General features: G+C 38.5%; 1 protein-coding gene and 1 long non-coding RNA gene across 3 annotated transcripts in view; one reads left to right on the plus strand and one right to left on the minus strand.

Annotated features, from left to right (window-relative positions):
- The window catches only part of INCR1 (interferon stimulated noncoding RNA 1), a 172297-nt gene that overhangs the window by 74898 nt on the left and 84230 nt on the right, over positions 1 to 13169 (minus strand). The gene's annotated exons all lie outside the window — the stretch shown is intronic.
- Positions 1 to 13169, plus strand: part of PDCD1LG2 (programmed cell death 1 ligand 2) — a 60752-nt gene that overhangs the window by 21798 nt on the left and 25785 nt on the right. For both annotated transcript variants that reach the window (XM_005251600.4, NM_025239.4), the window contains exon 3: positions 2417 to 2722. In XM_005251600.4, the coding sequence (XP_005251657.1) occupies positions 2417 to 2722 (306 nt within the window). The remainder of the gene's footprint in view (positions 1 to 2416; positions 2723 to 13169) is intronic.

Here is a 13169-nt window from a genome sequence, read left to right on the forward strand (position 1 = left end):
AGCCAAAAATGTCGGTCATTTGAAATAAATCTCAAGTTTGTGCATATCACTATCAAGTGTGCTGTGTGGCAATTAAGAATGCCAATTTGTGTGATCACAGGCAAGTTGCAGTTTGATGAAAGGAAAGCAGAGGTGAATATATAACCAGGGTCATCCTTTCTTTCTCCCTCTCTCTCTTTCTGTCATTTATTTGCCAAGCTCTTAACTAGAACTTGCTATGTGCTAGGTACTGGATATATCAAAGCAAACTCAGCCTGGTCTTTGCCTTCAAAGATTTGCAGGATAGTGGGAAGAAAAACTTGAATCAGAGGACATCTGCAGTGGGAATCATTCAAGCAGCAGAAAACCCAAAAGTTACTTATACTGTGAAATCTGATCAGAGAATGGACTGTCCTGGTTAGTAAAATATCCTGGAGGATAAAGATTGGCCATGCATTCCACATATGAATTACCACTTTCCCAAGAATTAAAACATGGTACGAAAGAAAGGAACGAACATTTGCTGAGTGCCTACTGCCTGCCAGATCTAGGCACTTCACATGTAACACCTCGTCCAGCCTCCACCACAATACTGAGAGGTAGAGTTCAACCTCATTTTATAGATAAAGAGGCTGAAGCTCATAAAGATTAAAGGACGGACTCACAGTCAAAGGACTCCTAATCCTGAGTCAGCATTTGAACCCAGGCTCACCTGTCACTATATCCTATGCTCTTCCGTATCACATTTTATACTGAAACAACTTCTGGAATAGCTAATGCTTAGAAGCAGCTCCCAAATATTTGTTGAATGAATGATTTGATTGAATGAATGAATAAATGAATGAAGCAAGCTCTACTGAACATAATTTGATCTAATCTTCTGTGATTATTCAGAAACTACTTCAAGATTTTCCTATACCTCCATCATAATGAATACCCATTCATTAATGATGGAAGCAGCCTAATTTTGTCATTTTTCACACTTTATTGATGTAACACTACCTTTACTAGTTTGGCCACTCCTTATGCTTTTTTTATAGAACTATTTAGATCAATTCAACTTTTAAAAAATAAAGCCACATACCCCTGTGGTAGATGAAAAACAAGTATCATTTGCACTGGTAAATAGAGAATAGGAAGAAAAATAAATGCAGTGAAAATAAAGCAGTGTTATCAAATCCTACCCAGATACTGTTATCTACCCGGAAGCTTCCTGTTTGATTAAAAGGAAAAATAGCCAGTGTTAGAGGTGTGGAAGTCTAGTTGAAATTATATGCAATTGAAGGATTAAAATAGAATTGAAAAGGGAATAAATTCCTCTCTGAATAATTTAACTCCCTTTAGGCTTTGATTCTGCCTCATCTAAAATCATCTTACATACTTCTAGTGGCGTGTCCCTCACATTTTGGTAAACTCTGAGTGGAAACTACGGATTTTGTAGTCAAACATCTGACTGGCTCTGGATTTTAACTTTACTAACATATGTCCTGAAGTGAACTGCTTGGAGCCAGTTTCCTCAACTATATAACCATAATGACAAAACAGGTTTCACGGTCATGTTTTCAGTATTAAACAATATAGTTAAAAGTACCTAGCACAGTGCCTGGCATAGAACATACTAGATATACATTAAGTATCAGTTCCATTTTTCCTTTCCCTTTATTGTCAGAAAATAGAAAGCATCTACAGTGGGCTTGTATGATGTGGTGGTTAGAAATACCTGATCTGATTCTGGCTGTGCAATCTTGGGCAAGTTACTTAACCTTTTTGTGCCTCATTTTTGTTTTCTGAAAAAAAGGATAGAATATTATTACCTACCTTGCTGGCTTCTGGGAAGAAGCTCAGTGAGACGATGTGTTAGCAGAGTGTCTGACAATTGTAAGAATTCAACAAGTAATAGTTATTATTACCATCACTGGTGAGAGGAAGTGATACCTGGCACAAAAATATATGGATTAATCAATATGGATTGAGGGAAACAAACCTGGAGAATAGGATGTGAAGGTATTTAAGTAACATGAGCTCAGACCTTGATGGTAGGGAAGTCGAAAGGAAGCATTTTGTTCTTATATGACAGATGACCTGGAATGACTGCAGGGCTTGGGGGGTCAGGGACTGGAGGTGGGAGAGGCCTCTGAGAGCAAGCAGTGCTGTCCACCAGAAGCTCTTGCTGGGGTGCCCAGAGAGGAGCAAAGGGCAGTCAGCTGCACAGGAGGGAATGTTTGGAGGAGAGAGCCACCTCAGATCAGCGGGTCAAGAATCCCACTCTTGCCCAGATGGATGGGGCAAAGGAGAAAAAGGATTCGCCACGGGAATGTCCAGATAAGACAGGTGCCTTTTGGAAAATGGGGGTGAGATGGGTCTCAGGTTACACTTCGTAAGAACTGGAATGTAAAGTAAAGGCAGACAATGACAAAATATCTTGTTTTCTTTTCAGCTTTATTCACAGTGACAGTCCCTAAGGAACTGTACATAATAGAGCATGGCAGCAATGTGACCCTGGAATGCAACTTTGACACTGGAAGTCATGTGAACCTTGGAGCAATAACAGCCAGTTTGCAAAAGGTGGAAAATGATACATCCCCACACCGTGAAAGAGCCACTTTGCTGGAGGAGCAGCTGCCCCTAGGGAAGGCCTCGTTCCACATACCTCAAGTCCAAGTGAGGGACGAAGGACAGTACCAATGCATAATCATCTATGGGGTCGCCTGGGACTACAAGTACCTGACTCTGAAAGTCAAAGGTGAGTGGTGTCAAGGACTAGAATCCATGGAAGCATCTCTCCAACAGAGGATCTGCAAGTCACAGAAACCCATTAAAGGTAGCTCAAGCAAAAACAAGCAGGCTGCTTTTAAGGAGACAGCTATTTCAGAGAAAATGAAAGCATCTGCTCGGAAATAATTTTTGACATCTGAGTACAAAGCAGCCGAAGTACAAGTGAAAGGGGGTAGGACCTATAGGAATAAAATGGGACTGGAGGAAGCCAGGAAAATTAGTCCCTGAAATGTGGGAGGGTATGAAAAATAAGCTTTGCCTAATTCACAATTCTCCCATGGAACATCCCTGACTTGATTATTAAGATACTCTTTTTCAATAGTTTATACCCTGAATCCAGAGTTTTTAAAACCATGGTTTGCCGCCCATTCATGGATTAAAATATCAATTTAGTGAGTAGCAACCAGATGCACGTTTCCCGCCCTTTAAAAAATAATGTATAGAAGAGAATAGACAGAGTAGATCAGACGACATCACAGAGTAGGACTGAGTACTGTAAAACTAATTTCTGAGGGACGTGTGTGTGTGTGTGCGTGTTGGGTCATGGTATAAATTTTTTTTTTCTTACTTTGGATCATAAAAAGTTACAAGTTTGGAAAACACTGCTCAAATGCAAGCCCTATTTATTGCAGATGAAGTAGCTGAGATCCAGAGAAGGGAAGTGGGTAGCCCAAGAGAGTCCCATGAAGTCTATAGCTGTCCCTATTCCTCTGGATTCAGGGATCTCTCCACTCCAGCACAATTGAAAATCTAAATATAAAGAGAATCTTCACACTCTTGTTTGTTCTAGAAAAGGTGATTTGAGGAAAGACATATAACAACTATAAAAAATAGATTTTGCTTGTTCATTGGCTTATGGTCTCCAGGCTTGAATGCTCTGAGATAAATGATGCCAATATTTCTCTGGCCTCTTCCCCTCCCACGCATTGGACCTCAGATGGTCTGTACTGTCTTCTAGAGGGTTTGTGGGTTTTGGCCCCAAAAAACCATTAACCTTGGCAGAAAGTGTGTGACTTTATGATCTGGTACAAAGAAGGACAAACTAGAGGGACTGGACATGAGGATGAATATTGTGTTCGCCCTTATCCTTGGGCAGGTTATTTTGCCTTTCATAACCTCACATTTTGCTTATTTGTAGAAGACGAACAATAGTAGTACCAAACACACAGGATTGTTGTCAACATTGAGAGAGATAATGAACATAAAGAACTGAGCATGGTACCCGGCATATAATAAGTGTCCAGAGACTTGGTTAAAAGACCCTCAGTTGTTACAGGGGCAGTGACCTCCTCACACCTCAACCATCAATGAGTCACCAGGAAAGCCATTAGCCTAGATGTAACTGTTTTCTATCTTTATTGCATTTCCTACATCCAGGCAGCAGCTGGGAGGAACTCTAGAACACTGAAGTTTGTCTGAGTTCCCTTAATGTAAGGCTGTACATTCTCAGGATGCCTTGATGTACTCGAATATCTGCAACCCTAAATCACCACCTCTGTTTTTATTGATCTCTATCTGAATGCTGTATTAATGGGCCAGGCCTTCTGCCCATTCTCTCAAACTGAGAACTGTCTCTCATTCCTGGGGAGGCACCCTGCCTACTCCTTACCTAGATCAGGGATTTCTCAGTTGTGGAGAGATTTGTTCCTTATAGTGTTGGTCATCAAACTGGGATATTTGGGGATTACAAAGACTTTTCAAGGGATGTATGGGCACAGGCAGTTTTAGGAAGTGAGTTCCTAGATCCTCATCTTCCCCAAATACTCGTTCCCAAAATTGACGAGCCTGACAATGTGCATGCCAGGCAAGGCTCTTGGGGTTCCCCTAAAACACTTCCTCTTTTAAGCCTACCACTCACTCATCATGAATATAGTCCATTGTCCCAGGGTGTAAAACCCTCTATAGTGTTAAATAAAAGAATGATTGGGAACATTGACACCTGATGGAACTGTTATGACTAAAAACCCTTTTGCAAATAATGTGGTATCTAATTTTCTGCTTTCAACAAAATTGAAGGAGGCCCTTATAAAGTTAATAACTGATAATCAAAAATGAGTAATTTTTGCCATGTAAATCAGGTCAAAGAATGAAATGGCATTGCTGTAACGAAACTGCTTCCATTCCCATTGATTTACTCATACGAACAAGATTCCTTAGCCTTTATAAGCTACAAAAAAATGAAAAATAGAAATAGAATTGAGGCTGAATTCTATTATATAAAATCATTCCAACCATGTCATATGGTTCTTCGGATTCATGAATAATTTGGAAAAGAGAGCCATATCCATCTTATTAAGGGACACATTCCCAATAAATTTTCATCTTTCATGTTTAATAATTATCAATATTCATAACATTTTACATTTTGATCAAATATGTGTTAATAATAATAGAAATAAATGTCCAACAACGATAGACTGGATTAAGAAAATGTGGCACGTATACACCATAGAATACTATGCAGCCATAAAAAATGATGAGTTCATGTCCTTCGTAGGGACATGGATGAAGCTGGAAACCATCATTCTCAGCAAACTATCCCAAGGACAAAAAACCAAACACCGCATGTTCTCACTCATAGGTGGGAATTGAACAATGAGAACACATGGACACAGGGAGGGGAACATCACACACTGGGGACTGTTGTGTGGTCGGGGGAGGGGAGAGGGATAGCATTAGGAGATATACCTAATGTTTAATGACAAGTTAATGGGTGCAGCACACCAATATGGCACATGTATACATATGTAACAAACCTGCACGTTGTGCACATGTACCCTAAAACTTACTGTTAAAAAAAAAAATTAGATCTTAATGCAGAACACCCTGAACATTTAAAGCTTCATAGTCACAAGAGAAAAGTTTTCATTTCAATAGCTATAAATATTTTGTTGTTGTAAAGACATATAACGATAATCAATACAAAATCTGTCAAACAAAAATATGTTACATTAAGATAAAATTCTGTAGGGAAGGTGAAATTGGAAGTGAGTTTCAATGAATGAAAAGAAACAATTTAGACAGAGAAGAATTTTTTCATTTAATAATTTATTTATTTTTACTTAGAAGGAATTGAATAGATTAGGTTCCTTACCCAAAAAGCCTCTGTTATTTGTCTTATTTATTTATTCTCTTTTTTCCACATTCTCCAGTCTCATTCCCCTTTTTTAACACAGGAAATTATTCCAGCATGTTTCATACATATTCTTTTGTTTGTAAGAGCTTATTTAAAATATGTAATATTGTTTTAGATGCATATATTTTTTTTCTTGTGGAAACTATATTGTACTATATATATATATTTTAGAAATGGACACATTAGGCCGGGCGCGGTGGCTCACGACCGTAATCCCAGCACTTTGGGAGGCCAAGGCGGGTGGATCATGAGGTCAGGAGATCGAGACCATCCTGGCTAACATGGTGAAACCCTGTCTCTACTAAAAAATACAACAAAAATTAGCCGGGCGCGGTGGCGGGCGCCTGTAGTCCCAGCTACTGGGGAGGCTGAGGCAGGAGAATGGCGTTAAGCCGGGAGGCGGAGCTTGTAGTGAGCCGAGATCGCTCCACTGCACTCCAGCCTGGGCGACAGAGCGAGACTCTGTCTCAAAAAAAGAAAAAAAAAAAAAAGAAATTGACACATTAAGTTTATTGTGAAAACATGATTACAAGCAATAACAGATATAACAGCAGAAAAAATTGTGAAGTTATGTGCACCTTCTTTTGAGATCATTTTTTTGGGTATATGTGAATGTATTTTATCTTTTTTTAATTGACAATAATTGTACTTATTTATGGGATACATAGTGATGTTTCAATATATACAATGTATAGTGATCAGATCGGGGTAATTAGCATATTTATCATCTCAAATATTTATTATTTCTTTGTGTTGAGAACATTCAATGTACCCCTTCTGGCTATTTGAAGCTATATACTGTTGTTAAATATTTATATGTATTTTTCAAGGATAATGTTGTATATAAAAGATAACTTCTTTTATATTTAGTCACCTTTGGATACATATGTAAGAGTAAAATAATTGTTTTACTAAAAAAATTCATAAGATGCTGAACATTATATGTTTTTCCAGTATAGAAACTTATGAAAAATTATAAGAATCAACTTAATAGGTGAGAAGAGCATACTGCATCATACTTATTTTAGGAGGAATACAAGCAAAAAAAAAGTTGGACCATCACCTAAGAGTAGGCTACCCTGATCCAGGGTCTCTAAAAGAAGCAAGATAGATCTGAGGCCCCAATGAGGGTTCCCATGAATGAAGTAGGACTAGAAGAAGGACATGTTTTTATCTTAAAGTGCCTGATCCATGGCATAAAGCTTGAAAATGGGTTTGTTTATAGCACCTTCGTTGATGTCTGGGCAGAAATTCTTATCAAATATAATGAAAAGAGTTAATTTCAAAAGGACAGAACAAATTATGAGGTGGAATGACCGGAGATTCTGGAAGAGACAGTGATAAAGGACTGTGGTTTCTGAAAAGCCAGGTGGCACCTACATTTCTGGGGGCAATCCATCTGAGGAAGGGGCGGGAGCATGGCCAAAGAACAGAGAGGCCCCAGGAGCCCAGGGGTCTCTCAGAGGAGCTGGGGTTGAGAACTGGTCTGTGCAAAGGTTTCCAGACAGGGTTGCAGAGGAGGCACTAAAAACAAGAACACCAAGAGCCAAACCATCCTGAAGGCCTGGGCAGGGCAGGGGGATGGGAAGAGCCAACACCAGGAATGGGCTGAAGCTGACAGAAGTACTTCAAACCAGAAACAATGAATTTAAACTATGCCCTACCACAAATAGACTTAACAGATATTTACAGAACATTCTACCCAACAATCGCAGAATATACATTCTATTCATCAGCATATGGAACATTCTCCAAGATAGACTATATAGTAGGCCACAAAACAAGTCTCCATAAATTTAAGAAAATCAAAATTATATCAAGTACTCTCTTAGATCACAGTGGAGTAAAACTGGAAATAAACTCCAAAAGGAACCTTCAAAACCATGCAATTACATGGAAGTTAAATAATGAGTGATCATTGGGTGAACAATGAAATCAAGATAGAAATTTAAAAACTCTTTGAACTGAACGATAATAGTGACACAACCTATCAAAACTCTGGGATACAGCAAAAGCAGTGCTAAGAGAAACATTCATAGCATTAAATGCCTACATCAAAAAGTCTGAAAGAGCACAAATAGGCAATCTAAGGTCACACCTCCTGGAGCTGGAGAAACAAGAACAATCCAAACCCAAACCCAGCAGAAGAAAAGAAATTACAAAGATCAGGGCAGAACTAAATGAAATTGAAACAAAAAAAATACAAAAGAGAAATGAAACAAAAATCTGGTTATTTGAAAAGATAAATAAAATTGATAACCAAGAAAAGAAGAGAGAAGATCCAAATAATCTCAATTAGAAATGAAATGGAGATATTACTACTCATATCACAGAAATACAAAAGATTATTCAAGGCCACTATGAACACCTTTACACGTACAAACTAGAAAAGCTAGAGGAGATGGATACATTCCTGGAAATATACAACCCTTCGATTAAACCAGAAAGATATAGGAACTATAAACAGATCAATAACAAGCAGCAAGATTGAATGGTAACTTTTAAAATTGTCAACAAAAAAAAATCCAGGACCAGACAGATTCATAGCTGAATTCTATCAGACATTCAAAGAAGAATTGGTACCAATTCTATTGACACTATTCCATGGGATAGAGAAAGAGGGAATCCTCCCTAAATCATTCTATGAAGCCAGTAGCACCCTAATACAAAAACCAGGGAAGGACATAACAAAAAAAGAAAACTACAGGCCAGTATCCCTGATGAACATAGATGTAAAAATCCTCAACAAAATACTAGCTAACCAAATCCAACAGCATATCAAAAAGATAATCCACCATGATCAAGTGGGTTTTACACCAGGGATGCAGGGATGGTTTAACATCCACAAGTTAATAAATGTGATACACCACACAAACAGAATTAAAAACAAAAATCACATGATCATCTCAATAGATTCAGAAAAAGCATTTGACAAAATCTAACATCCTTTATGATTAAAACCCTCAGCAAAATTAGCACAGAAGGAACATATCTTAAGGTAATAAAAGCTAACTACGACAAACCCACAGCCAACATTATGCTGAATGGGGAAAAGTTGAAAGCATTTTCCCTGAGAATTGGAACAAGACAAGACACTTTCACCACTTTTATTCAGCATAGTACTGGAAGTCCTGGCCAGAGCACTCAAAGAGAAAGAAATAAAGGGCATCCAAATTGGTAAAGAGGAAGTCAAACTGTTGCTGTTTGCTGATGATATGATCATATACCTAGAAAACCCTAAGGATTCATCTTGAAAGCTCCTAGAACTGGTAAACAAATTCAGCAAAGTTTCAGGATACAAAATTAATGTACACAAATCAGTAGCTCTGCTATACACCAACATCAACCAATAGCTGCAAAAATAAAATAAAATACTTAGGAATATACCTAACGAAGGACATGAAAGACCTCTACAAGGAAAACTACAAATCACTACTGAAAGAAATCACAGATGACACAAACAAATGGAAACACATCCCATGTTCATGAATAGGTACAATCAATATTGTGAAAATGACCATACTTTGTAGATTGCAAAAGCAATCTACAAAGTCAATGCAATCCCCATCAAAATACTACCATCATTCTTCACAAAAGTAGAAAAAGAAATCCTAAAATTCATATGGAACCAAAAAAGAGCCCACATAGCCAAAGCAAGGAAGACTAAGCAAAAAGAACAAACCTGGAGGCATCACATTGCCTAACTTCAAACCATACTATAACACCATAGTCACCAAAACAGCATAATACTAGTATAAAAATAGGCACATAGACCAATGGAACAAAACGGAGAACCTAGGAATAAAGCCAAATACTTATAGCCAACTGATCTTTGACAAAGCAAACAAAAACATAAAGTGGGGAAAGTACATCCTATTCAACAAACGGTGCTGGGATAATTGGCTAGCCACATGGAGAAGAATAAACTGGATCCTCATATCTTACCTTATAAAAAATCAACTCAAGATGGATCAAAGACTTAAATCTAAGACCTGAAACCATAACGATTCTAGAAGATAACATCGAAAAAGCCCTTCTAGACATTAGCTTAGGCAAAGACTTCGTGACCAAGAACCCAAAAGCAAATGCAACAAAGACAAAGGTAAATAGATAAATAGGGACTTAATTAAACTAAAAAGCTTCTGCACAGCAAAAGAAATAATCAGCAGAGTTAACAGACAACCCACAGAGTGGGAGAAAATCTTCACAATCTATACATCTGACAAAGGACTAATATCCAGAATCTACAAGGTATGCAAATAAATCAGCAAGAAAAAAACAAACGATCCCATCAAAAAATGGGCTAAGGACATGAATAGACAATTCTCACAAGGAGATACACAAATGACCAACGAGCATATGGAAAAATGCTCAACATCACTAATTCTCAGGGAAATGCAAATCAAAACCACACTGCGATACCACCTTACTCCTGCAAGAATGGCCATAACAAAAAAATAATAGATGTTGGCATGGATGTGGTGAAAAGAAACACTCTTACACTGTTGGTGGGAATGTAAACTAGTACAACCACTATGGAAAACAGTGTGGAGATTCCTTTAAAAACTAAAAGTAGATCTACCATTTGATCCAGCAATCCCACTACTAGGTATTTACCCAAAGGAAAAGAAGTCATTATACAAAAAAAAGATACTTGCACACGCATTTTTATAGCAGCACAATTTGCAATTGCAAATATATGGAACCAGCCCAAATGCCCATCAATCAGTGAGTGGATAAAGAAAATGTGGTATATATATTATACATACATATATATATGCATATTATATATATACACCATGGAATACTACTTAGCTATGAAAAGGAATGAAATCATAGCATTTGCAGCATCCTGGATGGAATTAGAGACTATTATTCTAAGTGAAGTAACTCAGGAATGTAAAACCAAACATTGTATGCTCTCACTCATAAGTGCGAGCTAAGCTATGAGGATGGAAAGGCATAAGAATGATACAATGGACTTTCAGGACTTAGGGGAAAGGATGGTTGGGGGTGAGAGATAAAAAACTCCACATTTGGGCCAGGCGTGGTTGCTCACACCTGTAATCCCAGCACTTTGGGAGGCCGAGGTGGGCAGATCACGAGGTCAGGAGATCAAGATCATCCTGGCTAACACGGTGAAACCCCGTCTCTACTAAAAATACAAAAAATTAGCCGGGCGTGGTGGCAGGCACCTGCAGTCGCAGCTACTCGGGAGGCTGAGGCAGGAGAATGGCAGGAACCTGGGAGGCGGATTTTGCAATGAGCAGAGGTCGCACCACTGCACTCCAGCCTGGGCGACAGAGCGAGACTCCGTCTCAAAAAAAAAAAAAAAAAAAAAATGGCCTTCACCCTAAGAAGGAAGAAACCAAGGGCAGAGGAAGGAAACAATCAAAGAGAAGCAAGGCAGCAGTGAAAAGACAACTGTACGTTTAAGCCTCTAAGGCCCAAGGAAAGCATTTGCTAAAAGAGCCAAGTCTCAGTGTCTTTTTTTCCCTTGGGGAAACAGAAGGGTGTAAGAAAATCGGAGTCAAGAAAATGTCCTGAGCTCCGCCTGCAGTAGCGGGAAGCCTAGGAGTAAAATAACACGTTTTTTAAAAATAAAGAAAGAAATTATTTTAAAAAAGAAAACAATGTCCTGAATTTCAATGGGGTGGGGGGGAGGGGAAGCTCCTGGGGATTACAAACTCGTTAACCTGCTATTCCTTTTCAGGCAATTTAACAGATGAATTGAAAGCAGTCCTAAAAGATTTAACTGATTACTAGAAACTTGCATAGATCCTCTAAGACCAAGGCATGTAAAACTACATTTTTCCATTTATTTACTGTCATTATGACTATAAAACAGATACTACCATGTATACATTTCATCTTTATTTCAGAAATTACAGCATTGCTTGTAACATATCTGTCAGACAGCCAGAACAAACCAGGGAAACAGAAACCATTTAAACCTGTGGAAATCTAAAGCTGAAACTAGTAATTCTTTTAATGAGGGAGACTGAGAAGCCAAACAGAGAACAGGGAAGCAATTCAGAAATTAGCAATAGCAGAAAGCTGCTCCTACCACTAGGCTATAGTGAAAAGGGGGAAGGCAGGGTTAATGGAGCCCAGGGATTAAAGTCACTTGACAGACACTGGAACCCAGTGGGCCTGTCCATTGGTATCTGGAGCCAGGGAAGAGATACATCTTCTGCTGGAGAGGCCACAAAAGTATAGAGCATAGGGGAGAAATACCTTCCCTTCTCCCTCCAGTCCACCCTCTAGTGTTCCTGTCTTGCTTCCTATTGGCTGTCACGTTCCTAGGCTATACAGGCCACAGGAGTCTGCCTTCCTGCAACACAGAGCAGAGAAGAAAAAGTGAGAGATGGATCTGAAGGCAAACAGACCCAGGACACACAAAGCACACACACCTTGTGTATTGGGTGGTAAAAGGTGGGATAATAATACAGTTGACTAGATCTATAACAGACTGAAAAGCTAGTAGTTGTTGAGTCAGGGACAACGAAGGCTGGCTGATGGCCTCAGTCAACTTGGAGACAATCTCCAAGTGCTAAGGGGTCTGTTATTCAGGTTGTAAGGATATAGCCAACCTAACTGAGCAGCAGATCATATATTTAGCAAAACTGATCTTATGACCTTAGGTTACATTAAAACCCTGGATATTTGTGCTGCTTAGATAATATCTAGAATATAGATTGTGTTACATATCCTTTTTAAAGAACGTGGCAAAACTAAACTATAACCAAAGACTACTATCTGGAAATGGGTCTGAAGACTGTATCTTGTGAGATATAGTTAAAGGAGGTAGGCATGTTTTACTTAGGGTTGAAAAGACTAGATGGAGTCTTCCCAGTTATATTCAAATATCAGAAGGGTTACCTGCAATAATTGCTAACACTAATTGAGTGTTTACTACGTTCTAGACATCTAACTAATTATTTAACACCCTTGTTAAGGATAAGTATTGCTGTATCCATTTCCTAAACAAGAAAACTGAGGGTTTAAGAGGTCATATAACTAGCCCTTGGCTAAAGCCTACTCAAACTGCTCAGATTCTGAACTCATGTTTTTAACTACGGTGCTTACCATATGTTGTGTTACTAAACTAGACAAATACCAATGGGTAGAAGCTACAAAGAGGCACAATTTTGCTTGGCATGAAGAAAATCTTTCCAATGGAAGTTTAACTTGCTTATTGTATAATCATGGCAAAGACTGCTTCTAGAGGAAGTAGGAGTTTCCATTCATAGATGTTTTCAGGCAAAAGTTATTTAGC

This window comes from Homo sapiens, chromosome 9, assembly GCF_000001405.40.
Source record: "Homo sapiens chromosome 9, GRCh38.p14 Primary Assembly".
NCBI lineage: Eukaryota > Metazoa > Chordata > Mammalia > Primates > Hominidae > Homo > Homo sapiens.